Here is a 15,681-nt window from a genome sequence, read left to right as displayed (position 1 = left end):
CTCTTGTAAGCACACTGCTTATTGGATTTAGGGCCCCTTCAGATAATCTAAGATGATCCCATCTCAAGAACTTAGATCTGCTAAGACTCTTTTTCTTCACATAAGGTAACTGTCTTAGTCTGTTAAGGCTGCTATAACAAAGCAGCATAGACTGGGTGGCTCTAAACAGGAGAAATTTATTACAGTTCTGGAAGCTGAGCGCCCAAGATCATGGCACCACAGAGTTGGTGTCTGGTGAGGGAATGGAGGAATTTTAATCCAAAAATGCATGCTGTGTTTCCTGCTCGGGGAGAGCTGTCTCCCTGTTCTGCTGGTATTTGTTTTTCTACCTGTTACTTCTGCTTTCTCACCTTTCCTTGCTGTGCTTTTCCTGTAGTGGTTGGAAGGTGGATGCTCACAGATCCCAAATGCACGTGACCAGTTCTTGGCTCCAGCCTTGGCCTGGGTTCCCCAGAAATACAACCTGAGACAAAGCCGTAGGTGCCTCTACTCTGAGATGGGGTGCAGTGCCCGTAGTGGGAGTCAGAGAGTGCCCTAGCAGGAGGAGGAGAGAGATGGAAGAGGAGGGGAAGAGGAGGGGGAGGAGTGGGAGAAGGAGGGGGAGTGCTGATGGATATGGGGCCATCTCAGTAAGATGGCATTGCTAAGTGTGCCTGCCCCACCTCTCGGGATGTCCCTAGAAGCCATGTGGACTGCATCAGGAAGGAAAGAGAGGAATCTGCCTGTGAGTGCCTCTCATTAGTCAAAGGTGCAGGGAATGTTAACTCTGTGCACAGCTGCATGGTTCATGTGTGATCTCAGAGGACTCTGATGCCTCCTGGTGACAGGGAAGCCCCAGGGCAGGAGGTGAGAGATCCAGGCGGGCACCAGGGAGACGTGTGGTTGGGTTCTTGGTTGGAGTCCACATGTTTTCACTGCAGAAGAAATAAAAGTCCTGAAGTTAGGAGGCTGTGATGTGAGTGAGAAAGTTCCAACTCTAAGCTCCCAACCAAGGTTCCCACAGCGAGTCAACTTGGGTCAGGTGCCCACTCCAGCTTGAACAAGGTGTGGCAAGAAATAAGAGATCAGGTTGTACAAATATAGCAGCTGAGATCATGCTATTGTGGAATGGAGGGATCAGTTAAGAAGGAATTAAAGTTCCTCCTGGTTGGCCAGGCACATGACTTGCACCTGTAATCCCAGCACTTTGGGAGGCCAGGTGGGAGGATCCCTGGAGGCCAGGAGTTCAAGGCCAACCTGGACAACAAAGTGAGACCCTGTCTCTAGATAAATAAATAAATCATAAATTTAAAAAGACAGACCAAGACAAGTATGATTTAAGGGGATATGTATGGGTGCCAAGTTAACAGGGGGTGGGTTGTGGTGGTCTTTTTATTGTGTCAACCTAGTGAGGCTGTCCCAGCTGTTCTATCAAACACACACCTCGTGTTGCTAGAAGGTATTTACTGGATGTGATTAAATTTCATATCAGTTGACTTTAAGTAAAGGAGATGATCCCAGGCAGTCCAGCTGGGCCGGATTCAATGGGTTAGAGGACACTGAGGCAGAGCTCCAGCTTCCTGAGACAAGGCGGAATGGTAGCCCCAAAGCTGTCTGCTTCCTAATCCCTGGGCCGTGTGACTATGTTAGTTTACATGGCAAGAGGAGAATTAAAATTGCAGATGGAATTAGGGTTGCTAGTCCACTGACTTGAGATAGAGACGTTACCCTGCATTATCTGGGGATGTCGTCACACGGCTCCTAAAGGTGGAAGAGGGGACAGAAGCACAGTGTCAGAGAAAGGTGTGAGGCCAGGGCAGCCTGAGGGCAGAGCCAGCTGAGGGCTTTGAGGACAGAAAAAGTCAAGGGAAGGAGCAGGATCCGGGAATGTGAGTGGCCTCTACACCAATATGGAGAAATCCTGTCTGTACTAAAAACACAAAAACTAGCTGGGCCTGGTGGTGCATGCCTGAATCGCTTGAACCAGGGAATCGGAGGTTGCAGTGAGCTGAGATCACGCCACTGCACTCCAGCCTGGCAACAGAACAAGACTCCGTCTCAAAAAACAAACAAACAACAAACAACAAAAAAACAGATTTTTTTTTTTTTTGAGACGGAGTCTCGCTCTGTCGTCCAGGCTGGAGTGCAGTCACGCGATCTCGGCTCACTGCAAGCTCTGCCTCCTAGGTTCACGCCATTCTCCTGCCTCAGCCTCCCGAGTAGCTGGGACTACAGGCACCCACCACCACGCCCGGCTAATTTTTTTTGTATTTTCTAGTAGAGACGGGGTTTCACTGTGTTAGCCAGGATGGTCTCGATCTCCTGACCTCGTGATACGCCCGCCTTGGCCTCCCAAAGTGCTGGGATTACAGGCTTCAGCCACCGCAACCGGCCAAAAAAACCAGATATTAATTATCTTCAAGTTCTGGGGGCTGGAAGGCCAAAATTCAAGGCAGCAATAGGGCCTTGCCTCCACCATTCTTTACCTGCTCAGTTTCGGGGGCTGCCAGCATTCTATGACTTGTGGCTGTGTGGCTGCTTCACTCCCATCTCTGCCTCTGTGTTCACACTGCCTCTTTTTCTGGGTCTGCTCTCAGTGTCTCATGTAAGCACACTGCTTATTGGATTTAGGGCCCCTTCAGATAATCTAAGATGATCCCATCTCAAGAACTTAGATCCGCTAAGACTCTTTCTTCATATAAGGTACTGTCTTAGTCCGTCAGGACTCCTATAACAAAGCACCATAGACTGGGTGGCTATAAACAGGAGAAATGTATTACTCATAGTTCTGGAAGCTGAGTGCCCAACATCAAGGCACCACAGAGTGGGTGTCTGGTGAGGTCCCACTGTCTGGTTCTCAGTGGCTGTTGTCTGGCTGTGTCTTCACATGGCAGAAAGGACAAGGCTGTTCTCTGGGGTGTCTTTTTTTTTTTTTTTTTTTTTTTTTTTTGAGATGGAGTCTCGCTCTGTCACCCAGGCTGGAGTGTGGTGGCGCAATCTCGGCTCACTGCAAACTCTGCCTCCCGGGTTCATGCCATTCTCCCACCTCAGCTTCCCGAGTAGCTGGGACTACAGGCACCCGCCACCACGCCCGGCTAATTTTTTGTATTTTTAGTAGAGACGGGGTTTCACCGTGTTAGCCAGGATGGTCTCCATCTCCTGACCTCATGATCCACCCACCTCAGCCTCCCAAAGTGCTGGGATTACAGGCGTGAGCCACCGCGCCTGGCCCCCTCTGGGGTGTCTTTTATAAGGGCACAAATCCCACTCATGAGGACTCTACTTTTGTGACCTGTCAGCTCCCAAAGGCCCCACCTCCTAATGCCATCATCTTGGTGATGGGGTTTCAACATAGTAGTAACAGCCACAGGTTCCAGGGATTTGACACAGGTATTTGCTGGGGGATGCTTTTTCAGTTTACCAGAGCCAAAAATTTGTAGTAATTTGTTGTGACCGTGACAGAAACCTAAAAACAGGACAGTAACTTTCTTTTCTTTTTTTTTTTTTTTGAGATGGAGTTTTGCTCTTGTTGCCCAGGCTGGAGTGCACAATGGAGTGATCTTGGCTCACCACAACCTCCGCCTCCCCCATTCAAGTGATTCTCCTGCCTCAGCCTCCCAAGTAGCTGGAATTGCAGGCATGTTCCACCACGCCCGGTTAATTTCTTGTATTTTTAGTAGAGATGGGGTTTCTCCATGTTGGTCAGGCTGGTCTTGAACTCCTGACCTCAGGTGGTCCGCCTGCCTCAGCCTCCCAAAGTGCTGGGATTACAGGCGTGAGCCACCGCCCCCAGCCACAGGACAGTAACTTTCTGATGGCCTGCCCTCCAGATTTCATCCTAGCTGAGCCAGCCCCCATAGTGCATAAGCCAATTCCTTGCAGTAAATCTCCTAATATGTATCTCCTACTGATTCTGCTTTTCTGGTTGAACCCTGACTGACATAATATGCTTGTGTCAATATCAGCCTGACAAAGATGCAGAATATTTCCAAGTCCCCAGAAGTTTCCTACACGCCTCTTTTCAGTCCATCCTATTCCCTGCAGACCACCTCACCCAAGCAAACGATTTAACGATTTCTGACTTCCTTTTCTTTCTTTTTTTTTTTTTGAGACAGAGTCTCATTCTGTTGCCCAGGTTGGAGTGCGGTGGCGCAATCTCAGCTCACTGCAGCCTCCACCTCCTGGGTTCAAGTGATTCTTCTGCCTCAGCCCCCTGAGTAGCTAGGATTACAGGCACCCACCACCACACCCGGCTAATTTTTTGTATTTTTAGTAGAGATGGGGTTTCGCCATGTTGGTCAGGCTGGTCTCGAACTCCTGACCTCGAGTGATCCACCCGCCTTGGCCTCCCAAAGTGCTGGGATTACAGGGGTGAACCACCACGCCCGGCCAATTTCTGACTTCTGTCACCAGTGAGTAGTGGTGCTATCTGTCATGGAAGTTCATATAGATGAAATCCCACAATATGTACATGGTCTTTTGTGTGTGGAAAATTACAGAATAGTTTTGAGGTTCATCTATTTTATAATACTACTTGTATATCCATTTTCTTCCCCTTTTAAAAACTTTTTTCATCATATTGTTTTCCATAGTGGCACCATTTTACATGCCCACTAAGAGTACACAGAGTTCCAATTTCATCATATCCTTGCCAATACTTGTTATTTTGTTTATTTTTATTTTATTATTATTATTATTTTTTTTTTTTTTTTGAGACAGAGTCTTGCTCTGTCGCCCAGGCTGGAGTGCAGTGGCGTGACCTCGGCTCACTGCAAGCTCTGCCTCCCGGGTTCACACCATTCTCCTGTCTCAGCCTCCTGAGTAGCTGGGACTACAGGCACTCGCCACCACACCCAGCTAATTTTTTTGTATTTTTGATAGAGACAAGGTTTCACCGTGTTAGCCAGGATGGTCTCGATCTCCTGACCTTGTGATCCGCCCATCTCGGCCTTCCAAAGTGCTGGAATTACAGGCATGAGCCACCGTGCCCGGCCTATTATTTCTTTTTTTTGAGATGGAGTCTCACTCTGTCGCCCAGGCTGGAGTGCAGTGGCAGGATCTTGGCTCACTGCAACCTCCGCCTCCTGGGTTCAAGCGATTCTCCTGCCTCAGCCTCCCAAGTAGCTGTTTGTTGATAGTAGGCATCCTAATGAGTGTGAAATAGAAAAACACAAGAACAAATCCTTTTGATTTGTTCTTTCCTTTTTATTGCTGAGTAATATTCCATTATATGAACAGTATTTGTTTATCCATTCTCCTATTTGTGCACTTTGGGTTGTTTCTAGTTTTTTGCGATTATAAATAAGCTGGTAAGAATATTCATTATACAGCCAGGTGTGGTGGCTCATGCCTGTAATCCTAGCACTTTGGGAGGCCGAGGCAGGCGGATCACCTGAGGTCGGGAGTTTGAGACCAGCCTGATCAACATGGAGAAACCCCATCTCTACTAAAAATACAAAATTAGCCAGGAGTGGTGGCGCATGCCTGTAATCCCAGCTACTCGGAAGGCTGAGGCAGGACAATCGCTTTAACTCGGGAGGTGGAGGTTGTGGTGAGCAGAGATCACGCCATTGTACTCCAGCCTGGGCAACAAGAGTGAAACTCCATCTCAAAAAAAACAAAAAAGAAAAAACAAAAGACTATTAATTATACAAGTTTTTGTGCAGAGATTAATTTGTATTTCTATTAGGTAAATACTTAGAAGTAGAATTACCATCATAGGAGATATATATGTTGAATTTTATAAAAGACTTCCAATGTGGTTTCTTTCTGAAGTGTGAGTTAAAGTCTTTTGCCCTATTTTTCCTGCATTGTCATTTTATTGTTGTTTGGGTTCTTTACATATTCTGGACACAAACTCTCTGTCTGTTATATGTATTGCAGTATTGTCTTGCAATATTGTCTATGTCTTTTCACTCTTTTAACATTCTTTTGATGAGAAGTTTTAAATTTCGATCAAATCAATTTATCATTTTTTTCCTAAAGGTACTAACCCTACATTTTTGAGAAATCTTGCCTTCCTCTACTCTACCGTTATAAAATTATTCTCTTATGTTTTCTTCTAGAAGCTTTGTATCTTTAGCTTTCAAATTTAGGTCTATGATCCATACACAGCCAGTTACTTTTTGTACATGGTGTTGGGGAGGAAGTTGAGTTTCAGTTTTTGTACATCGTTATGCAGTTATTCTAGCACCATTTTTAAAAAAAGTTTCTTTTATTTTTTTTTTAACACGGAGTCTCTCTCTGTTGCCAGGTTGGAGTGCAGTGGCATGATCTCAGCTCACTGCAACCTCTGTCTCCTGGATTCAAGTGATTCTCCTGCCTCAGCCCCCGGGGTAGCTGGGATTACAGGCACTCGCCACCACACCCAGCTAATTTTGGTATTTTCAGTAGAGACAGGGTTTCGCCACGTTGGCCAGGCTGGTCTCGAACTCCTGACCTCAGATGATCTGCACGTCTTGGCCTCCCAAAGTGCTGGGATTACAGGTGTGAGCCACTGTGCCCAGCCAAAAAAGAGTTTTCTTTCTCCATGGAAGTCCTTTAGCATCTTAATTGAAAACCAATTGACCAAATAATGTGTACTTAATTTTCACTATTCTGTTCCATTGCTGTATAGTAGTCTCATTTCTATAGATAATTCTTCATTGGCTGTTTGCCCTTAGGCCCATTTCCAGAGGCTTTAAATGGTTATTTATTTTATTTTATTTTATTTCGTTCTATTTTTTTGAGACAGGGTCATGCTCTGTCGCCCAGCCTGGAGTGCAGTGGCACGATGTCAGCTCACTACAACCTCCAACTCTCGGGTTCAAGTGATTCTCCTGCCTCAGCCTCAGTGGTAGCTGGGACCACAGGCACCGCCTACTATGCCCAGCTAATTTTTGTATTTTGTAGAGAGGGGGTTTTGTCCTGTTGGCCAGGCTGGTCTCGAACCCCTGAGCTCAAGCAATCCACTGCCTCGGCCTCCCAAAGTGCTGGGATTACAGGCATGAGCCACCGCACCTGGCCTAATGGTTGTTTTTAAATAAGCACTGTACTATACTCACCTATTTTCAGACTATGGTTGACCATGAGTAACTGGAACTCAGAGGAGGGGGACTACTAGTACAGTATAATGAGATATTTTGAGAGAGAGACGAACTACATCACTTTTATTATAGTATACCACTACAATTGTTCTATTTTTATTATTGTTAATGTCTTACTGTGTCTAATTTATTTATTTATTTATTTTTAGATGGAATCTCACTCTGTGAGTCTCACTCTATCGCCCAGGCTGGAGTGCAGTGGCACAATCTCAGCTCACTGCAACCTCTGCCTCCAGAGCTCAAGCAATCCGCCCACCTTGACCTCCCAAAATGCTGGGATTACCGACCTGTGTGTACTTTATAAATTAAACTTTATCATAGGCCTGCATATATAGAAAAATATATAGTCTATACAGTGTAGAGTGTGCTACTATCTGTCCTTTCAGACATCCACCAGGGGTCTTGAAGCTTATCCCCCAGAAGATGAGGTGGGAACTACTGTAAATAATTTTGACCCTTTGAAATCTGATGAGACTTGTTTTACTTCCTAACATATGGTATATTTTGTGAATGTTACGTGTTTATTTGAAAACTTTAATTCCTGTCAGTAACAGCTTGAAGTCTTCAGTACAAAGCGTCTGAACATCTTTCATTCCGTACAATGCATTCTGTATTCTGTTTTGTGGAGGTGCCATTTAGGTATAATACGTTAATTACTTAAAAAAAATTTTGTATCTTTACTTCTTTTTGTGTCTGCCTGTCCTATCAATTACTAATAGAGAGAAGTTCAAATCTCTATGAGTGTGTATTCGCCTATTTCTTCTTTTGATTCTATCCATCTTTGTCTAAATATTTCAAAACTTATTTGATGTATATATGCACTAAAAGTTATTTTTTCTTCCTTTTCTTTTGAGACGGAGTTTCACTCTTGTTGCCCAAGCTAGAGTGCAATGGCACGACCTTGGCTCACTGTAACCTCCGCCTCCCGGGTTCAAGTGATTCTCCTGCCTCAACCTCCCAAGTAGCTGGGATTACTGCAACCTTCGCCTCCCAGGTTGAAGCGATTCTCCTGCCTCAACCTCCCGAGTAGCTGGGATTACAGGCATGTGCCACCAGACCTGGCTAATTTTTTGTATTTTTGGTAGAAACAGGGTATGTTAGCCAGGCTGGTCTCGAACTCCTGACCTCAGATGACCTGCCCGCCTCAGCCTCCCAAAGTGTTGGAATTACAGGCGTGAGCCACCATGCCCGGCCTATTTTTTCATACTTAATTGACCCATTTATTTTTATCAAATGTCCTTTTTATCACTGATAGTGCCCCTTGAGTTGAATTCTACTTTGATATTAATATAATCACTCCACCTTTCTGATTAGCATGTCCTTTTGCATCTTTTTAATTTCAGCCTCTTTGTGTCCTTATATTTAAATTATGTCTTTTTTTTTTTTTTTTTTTGAGACCAGGTTTCACTCTTGTTGCTTAGGCTGGAGTTCAATGGCGCAATCTCAGCTAACTGCAACCTCTGCCTCCCGGGTTCAAGCGATTCTCCTGCCTCAGTCTCCTGAGTAGCTGGGATTATAGGCATGTGCCACCACACCCAGCTAATTTTGTATTTTTAGTAAAGACGGGGTTTTGCCATGTGGGTCAGGCTCGTCTTGAACTCCTGACCTCAGTTGATCCACCCGCGTTGGCCTCCGAAAGTGCTGGGATTAACAGGCATGAGTCACTGTGCCCGGCCAAAATTATGTCTTCTTAAAACAGAATATATTTGGGTCTCGTTTTTAATCCAATGTGACAATTTCTGTGTTTTAATCCATTTACAGTTAGTAAACGGATTACATGTTTAGTCCATTTACATTCAATGTGATTACTAATGTGGTTGAAGTCTAACTGCTTGCTCTTTGTCTTTGCCTTATGTGCTTTTTGCTCCTTCCTTCCTGCTTTCTTTTGGATCAAGCATATTTTTGTATTCTATTTTATCTCTTTTCTTGGATTTTTAGCTGTATTATTTTTTATTAATTGCTCTAGGGATTACAATATTTTATTATTTTAAGACGGAGTCTTGCTCTGTCGCCCAGGCCGGAGTGCAGCGACACGATCTTGGCTCACTGCAACCTCCACTTCCTGGGTTCAAGCGATTCTCCTGCCTCGGCCTCCCGAGTAGCTGGGATTACAAGCCCACACCACCATGCCCGACTAATTTTTGTATTTTTAGTAGAGACGGGGTCTTCACCATGTTGGCCAGTGTGGTCTCGAACGCCTGACCTCAGGTGATCCGCCCGCCTCGGACTCCCAAAATGCTGCGATTACAGGCGTGAGCCACTGCGCTCGGCCGGGATTACAATATTTTAAATTATCACAGTATAACTTGAATTTGGGTTCTATCATGTCATCTACAATGTAAAAACCTTTGGAATCTAATTTTGAGACTCCACCCTAGGCACAGAAAAGGAGTAATCTGCTGATTTGAAAATGTGTGGACTGGGAACCAGAATGTTATCCAAAGCCCCTGTTTTGCAGGAATGTGAGAAAGTGATATCCGAATATTGAGTCAACTGGTAGATTGTCTCAATCCGCTGGTCAGGATTCATTTGCTGCTTTTTGCCTTACCGCAGAGCACAAGCGGGGGTAACCAAACCTTCATAATCTAGAGACCAGACTAGAATATCTGATGCCCATCCTTACTGTTCTCCGTAAGAACCAGGGGTCGCGGATGAATGGGGAGTGAGGTTGCTGCGGCTGAGCGGGGCGTTTAGGGCAGTTTTCCTAAACACGCCTGTGACCAGCTGACTCCACTCAGCGTTTCCGTGTGAGGTATGTTTCTTCACCGGCCTTTCAAGATTGTTTTTTGGCACGAGCTCAAATCAGGTTTTCTTCCGTCCGCCGTTCCCGCAGGTCTGCGCACGGATTTGTCCCTGGTTCCCGCAGGCAATGGGGCCGCAGGGGCCGGCCGGGGGGGTCCCCAGCGGGCTCTGCGCGCCGACCTGCAGCTGGGACCCGCGCCTGGAACCCTCCCGACGAGCGCAGGTGAGCGCCTCCTGCCAAGTGGGGCGGCGCCACACGGGCGTCCTGGGTGTCCCCCTGAGCTCCTTCCGCAGCTCAGGCCAACCCCCGCCCTGACCCGGTGGAGCCCCGGGACAGGGTGCGGACCCCGTTCCTTCGCGCTCCGAACCGGACGGACCCGCAGGAGGACCCCACGCCCGCTCCGCTCCGACCCCGCCGTCCCGCGCAGGCTGCGGTGACCCAGGCCGGCAGGTAGCCAGGGGCTCTCTGCCTGGGAGGACACCTTCGGCGGCTGGCGTGGGGAAAGGGGCCGCCCGGCCGGGGATGCCCCGCCAGGAGGAGGGAGCGGCCGGGGCCGCGGCCGGGAGGGAGGAGCGCCGGGAGGAAGAGGCCGAGCCGGGAGAGCCCCCGCCCCGGGAGGAAGGGGAGGAGGCCGAGTGTTTCCTGGCGCATTCCCGGCCAGCCCGAGTGACTCACTCGGCCAAGGAAACTCCCAGGGCCCGCCCAGGACCCCCAAGCCGCCGCGGACGCAGGTGAGGAACCCCGCTCGCCCGCGCCTGCCCTGCGGCCTCCGCGGGGTCCGGGTCCCCCTCGGAACCTGGGCCGGCCAGGGCGGCGGCGGGGCCGGGACGGACCCCCCCCTCCCCCCCAACCCCGGCGGCGCGGCCTCCCCGGCGGCGCGGCCTCCGGGATCGTCCTGGTCCCCGCGTCCCCCAGGTCCCGGCCCCGGGCTCCCGCGCCTCCCGGGCTCCAGGTCCCCGCACTCCCTGCACTGGCTTCCCGGTCCCTGCGCCCCCGGCCTTTCGGCCTCGGCCCCGAGCTCCCCGCCCCCGCGTTCACCGCCTCGCGCCCCCGGATCCCGGATTCCGCGCCCCGGCACATGGCACAGCTCCAGTGGCGAAGGAATACCTTAGTGTTTGACGTTTTTGTTGGAAAGTAAGGAGCAGGCAGATTGTTAATGTTGCACTAAGGTCGCGCAGCAAGATCTGAACCCGTTTTTGTTTCGTGCCCCTGTGAGGAGCGGAGGGAGCCTGGTCCGCGGAGCCATTCCGGGCATTCTTGGAGAGAGGAGTTTTGGGCTTTGTTAAGGAGGCGCGATCGTTACGGAGGCAGCACTGTTTCGCACAAGCATCTGAATTGTGTATTTTAAGGCTGAAATGCGTGAGCTTAATTTGCAGCACATTGTGGGTGTGACAAGAAGGGTGCAAGAATAATCGGGAAACGGGGTTGATGGAACGTGTTTTAAGCTGAGAGGGGCGTCTGGACGGTGTCAGCTCCGCTATTAAGTCCAGTCAGGGAGCGGCTGCTGATTGAGCCCAGCGCCGCGTGGTCGCCGCTGGGGACTGAGGCTCGGGAGCGTTTGTTTTCTGGCGGCGGAGGGCACCGTGGCTGCGCCGGGAGCGGTGGTGTTTCTTGCAGTCGTCCGTCGGACTCCGGAATGAGGCGTGGTCGGAGCCGCGGTGATGCCTGGTGCAGTGCGCACATTGCTATGCTTGACAGCTTGGCGGCAGAGTCCCGGCCAGGCCGGGACCCGCGGGGGCCCCACGCATGCTGCCTTTTCCCTGCGGGTGGCCAGCGGTTTTCCAAGTGATGTCTAGATCTGCAGGCACGGAGCCTGGAAGAACGAGTCACGCTGTGAGTGGGCGCGGGCCGTAGCAGGTGTGCACTCGTAGGGCCAGTAGGGATATAGTGCCGGTGCCCTCACTGCGACCGAGGCGCCCTGGAGTCGTGGCGGAGGACGTTTCCTGCGTTAAGACAGGTGTCTGTGCTGCGCTCAAAGAAAATGTACCCCCTAAGTTTGTGTGTGTGTTTAAATTTATTTTAAACTTTTAGTAAGATTCACTTTTTGGTGTTCAGTTCAGTGAGCTGTAGCAGGTGCATGGACTGTAGTGACTTCCACCGCAGTCAGGATACTCAGGAAGGCAGCCTCTCTCCTCCCCGCTCTTGCAGCCGCCTGTCTGTTCCTCAGTCCTCCTGCTTTGCCCATTCCAGAATGTCACATGTGGGCTTGGAGTCTGGCTTGTTTCGCTTAGCATAAGGCGTTGGAGATTCAGCTATGCTCTGGTTTGTCCCTGAAGAGTAAAGATACAAGGGTCTGAAAAGTGTGGCTCTCGGATACAGCCTGAGAGAGAGACTAAAATGATAAAGTGATGAGAAAAATTACAAAACTATAGTTCATTAAAAACATTAAACAGCATAGAACCGTGTATACTAAAAGTGAAATTCCCTCGGTACTTCTAAGTAGTATAATAGTCTTTTCTGTGCATAAGTAATTTTTTAAATAACATAGTGAGATCATATTGCATATATTATCGTCATACATTTTTCACTTAATGATGTTTGGTTACTTAAAGATCTTAGCAATCTTTACATGTTGATATATATAGTCTGTACACACAGATTTCCCTCAATCTTTTAAATAACCGTATAGTATTCCTTTTTTTTTTTTTTTTTTTTTTTTTTTTTTGTGACAGAGTCTTAACTCTGTGGCCCAGACTGGAGTGCAGTGACGCAAACTCGGCTCGCCACAACCTATGCCTCCTGGGTTCAGGTGGTTCTCCCACCTCAGCCCCCTGAGTAGCTGGGATTACAGGCACGCACCACCACACCCGGCTAATTTTTGTCTTTTTAGTAGAGACGGGGTTTTGCCATGTTGCCCAGGCTGGTCTTGAACTCCTGACCTCAAGTGATCTGCCCGCCTCAGCCTCCCAAAGTGCTGGTATTACAGGCATGAGCCACTGTGCCCGGCCAAATCACTATAGTATTCTGTAGTGTGGATGTTTCATAATTTTATCAGCCTCCTGTTGATTGACATTATAGTTATTTACTGTTTTTCACCACTACAGTCAATGCTTGTGTCTGTATCTTTGTGCACATACTCAAGTTTATAATGCTAAAGGTGACTTTGGGTTTAAATAATAGCTAACATCTCCCTCCCTCCTTTGTTTTCTTTTCTTTTATGTTATGTTATTTTATTTTATTTTTTGTGAGACAGGGTTTTGCTCTTGTTGCCCAGGCTGGAGTGCAATGGTGTGATCTCGGCTCACTGCAACTTCCACCTCCTGGGTTCAAGCAATTCTCCTGCCCCAGCCTTCCGAGTAGCTGGGATTACAGGCGCCTGCCACCACACCCAGCTAATTTTTGTATTTTTAGTAGAGACAGGGTTTTGCCATGTTGGCCAGGCTGGTCTCAAACTCCTGACCTCAGGTGATCCACCCACCTCGGCCTCCCAACGTGCTGGGATTACAGGCGTGAACCACCGCGCCCACCCAAAACATATTTTATAGTGTGAAGTTTTAACTAACATGTCCAAGCTATTCTCATTGTTTTTCCTATTAAAATTTAGCCAACCCTTAGAGGCCATTGATAAAGCATGGATTAATTACACTGACATAATTTAAAAACCTTATTTTAGCCAGTGCAATAGTATCAGACAAAGAAAGAAAAGGCATACAAATTGGAAAGGGAAAATTGTCCCTATTTGCTGACAACATGATTATCTACATAGAAAATCCAGGGAATCTATGAAAAAGCTACTAGAACTAATTAATGAGGTTAGCAAGGTCACAAGATACAAAGTCAACACACAGAAGGCGACCTTATTTTTCTTTTTTTTTTTTGAGACAGAGTTTCATTCTTGTTGCCCAGGCTAGAGTGCAATGGTGCGATCTCGGCCCACCGCAACCTCTGCCTCCCGGGTTCAAGCGATTCTCCTGCCTCAGCCTCCCGAGTAGCTGGGATTACAGGCATGTGCCACCATGTCTGGCTAATTTTGTGTTTTTAGTAGAGATGGGGTTTCTCCGTGTTGGTCAGGCTGGTCTGGAACTCCCAACCTCAGGTGATCCGCCTGCCTCGGCCTCCCAAAGTGCTAGGATTATAGGCGTGAGCCACCGGGCCCGGCCTGGCGACCTTATTTCTGCATACAGCAGTGCCCCTTATCCATGGGGAGATACATGCAAAGTCAACACTATACAAGCTGACCTTATTTCTGTTTACAACAGTCCTTGTTATCCATGGACGATACGTTCCAATGGAAGCCTGAAACCTGAGATAAGACAGAACCCTCCGTGTACTGTGGTTTTTTTCCCTATACATCTATGCCTATGATAAAGCTTAATTTACAAATTAGGCGCAGTAAGAGATTACCAACAATAACTGTTCATAATATAGAATAATTATATACTGAATAAAAGTTATATAAATGTGTTCTCTCTTTCAAAATATCTTTTTGTATGCACTCACCTATTTTTGGAGGGCAGTTGACTGTAGGCAGCTATAACTGGGGAAACAGAAATTGCAGATAATGAAACTACAGGTAAGTGGGGACTACTGTACTAGCAATGTACAATTAGAAAGTTAAATTTGGCTGGGCGTGGTTGCTCACGCCTGTAATCCCAGCACTTTGGGAGGCCGAGGCGGGCGGATCACAAGGGCAGGAGTTCGAGACCAGCCTGGCCAACATAGTGAAACCCTGTCTCTACTAAAAATACAAAAATTAGTTGGGCATGGTGGCGTGCGCCTGTAGTCCCAGCTACTCAGGAGGCTGAAGCAGGAGAATCGCCTGAACCCGGGAGGCGGAGGTTGTGGTGAGCCGAGATCGCGCCACTGCAGTCCAGCCTGGGCAACAGAGCGAGACTCCGTCTCAAAAAAAAAAAAAGAAAATTAAATTTAAAAACACAACATTTCGTTTGCTTCAAAGGAATCAAATACTTAGGTATACATTGAATAAGACTTACAGGATCTGTATGCTGAAGATGAGAGAAATCAAAGATCATTTAAGTAAATGGGGGAACATACCATGGTCAGTGGTTGGAACACTCAACATAGTAAAGACATCAGTTCTCTTCATATTGATCTATAAATTTAACCCAATTCCAATTTAAAAATATTAGCATGCTTTAAAAACAAAAATTTTAAACAAAAATTTTGTTTATTGAGGTATAATATACCTACTTTATAAAATTCACCTACTTTTAAGTATACGTTTGGCTGGCCTGTGAACGAGGGGGTTAGGGATTCCAACCCCCTGTGCAGTTGAAAATCCGAGTGTAACTTTTTTTGAGATGGAGTTTCGCTCTTATTGCCCAGGATAGAGTGCAATGGCACGATCTTGGCACACTGCAACCTCTGCCTCCTGGGTTTAAGCCATTCTCCTGCCTCAGCCTCCCAAGTAGCTTGGATTACAGGCATGCGCCACCACTCCCACTAATTTTGTATTTTTAGTAGAGAGGGGGTTTCACTGTGTTGGTCAGGCTGATCTCGACCTCCTGACCTCAGGTGATCTGCCCGCCTCTGCCTCTGCCTCCCAGAGTGCTGGGATTACAGGCGTTAGCCACCGAGCCTGGCCTTTAACCTTTTTTTTTTTTTTTTTTTTTTTTGAGACGGAGTCTCGCTCTGTCTCGGCTCACTGCAAGCTCTGCCTCCCGGGTTCAAGCGATTCTCCTGCCTCGGCCTCCTGAGTAGCTGAGATTACAGGCACCCGCCACCATGCCTGGCTAATTTTATATTTTTAGTAGAGATGGGATTTCACCATGTTGGCCAGGCTGGACAAGTATAACTTTTGACTTCTCAAAAGTTAAAACTACGTGACTTCCCAAAAGTTAAAACTACGAATAGCCTGCTATTGACCAGAAACCTTACTGATAACATAAACAGTTGATTAACAGAGATTTTGTA

General features: G+C 47.6%; 2 protein-coding genes across 17 annotated transcripts in view, besides 4 other annotated features; both read left to right on the top strand.

The window, feature by feature from the left end:
- TUBGCP5 (tubulin gamma complex component 5) overlaps nucleotides 1-7,800 on the top strand; it is a 56,545-nt gene extending 48,745 nt beyond the window's left edge. For all 8 annotated transcript variants that reach the window (NM_001354374.2, NM_001354373.2, NM_001354372.2 and 5 more), the window contains one exon: nucleotides 7,214-7,800. In NM_001354374.2, the coding sequence (NP_001341303.1) occupies nucleotides 7,214-7,368 (155 nt within the window). In that variant the 3' untranslated portion in view covers nucleotides 7,369-7,800. The remainder of the gene's footprint in view (nucleotides 1-7,213) is intronic.
- Nucleotides 9,927-15,681, top strand: part of CYFIP1 (cytoplasmic FMR1 interacting protein 1) — a 113,847-nt gene continuing 108,092 nt past the window's right edge. For 7 of the 9 annotated variants that reach the window (NM_001324125.3, NM_001324124.3, NM_001324126.3 and 4 more), the window contains exon 1: nucleotides 10,457-10,538. Coding sequence is in view for 1 of the 9 variants with exons in the window: in NM_001324119.2 (NP_001311048.1) it covers nucleotides 9,934-10,029 (96 nt within the window). In the remaining 8 variants the exon portion in view is untranslated. Of the gene's footprint in view, nucleotides 10,258-10,456; nucleotides 10,539-15,681 lie in introns of those variants that run through there. The other 2 variants (NM_001324119.2, NM_001324120.2) reach the window with 2 other exon arrangements.
- Nucleotides 10,192-11,160: an enhancer, noted in NCBI's record as "H3K27ac-H3K4me1 hESC enhancer chr15:22892435-22893403 (GRCh37/hg19 assembly coordinates)". NCBI's record gives its function as "activates a minimal SCP1, AML or CMV promoter by ChIP-STARR-seq in primed H9 embryonic stem cells {active_cell/tissue: H9 hESC(primed)}" and the evidence as "EXISTENCE:reporter gene assay evidence [ECO:0000049][PMID:30033119]".
- Nucleotides 11,161-12,128: an enhancer, noted in NCBI's record as "H3K27ac-H3K4me1 hESC enhancer chr15:22893404-22894371 (GRCh37/hg19 assembly coordinates)". NCBI's record gives its function as "activates a minimal SCP1, AML or CMV promoter by ChIP-STARR-seq in primed H9 embryonic stem cells {active_cell/tissue: H9 hESC(primed)}" and the evidence as "EXISTENCE:reporter gene assay evidence [ECO:0000049][PMID:30033119]".
- Nucleotides 13,258-13,759: an enhancer, noted in NCBI's record as "H3K4me1 hESC enhancer chr15:22895501-22896002 (GRCh37/hg19 assembly coordinates)". NCBI's record gives its function as "activates a minimal SCP1, AML or CMV promoter by ChIP-STARR-seq in primed H9 embryonic stem cells {active_cell/tissue: H9 hESC(primed)}" and the evidence as "EXISTENCE:reporter gene assay evidence [ECO:0000049][PMID:30033119]".
- Nucleotides 13,760-14,259: an enhancer, noted in NCBI's record as "H3K4me1 hESC enhancer chr15:22896003-22896502 (GRCh37/hg19 assembly coordinates)". NCBI's record gives its function as "activates a minimal SCP1, AML or CMV promoter by ChIP-STARR-seq in primed H9 embryonic stem cells {active_cell/tissue: H9 hESC(primed)}" and the evidence as "EXISTENCE:reporter gene assay evidence [ECO:0000049][PMID:30033119]".

Source organism: Homo sapiens, chromosome 15 (assembly GCF_000001405.40).
Source record: "Homo sapiens chromosome 15, GRCh38.p14 Primary Assembly".
Lineage (NCBI taxonomy): Eukaryota > Metazoa > Chordata > Mammalia > Primates > Hominidae > Homo > Homo sapiens.
The sequence above is the reverse complement of the archived record's forward strand: the minus strand, read 5'-3'. Positions and strand labels throughout refer to the sequence as shown.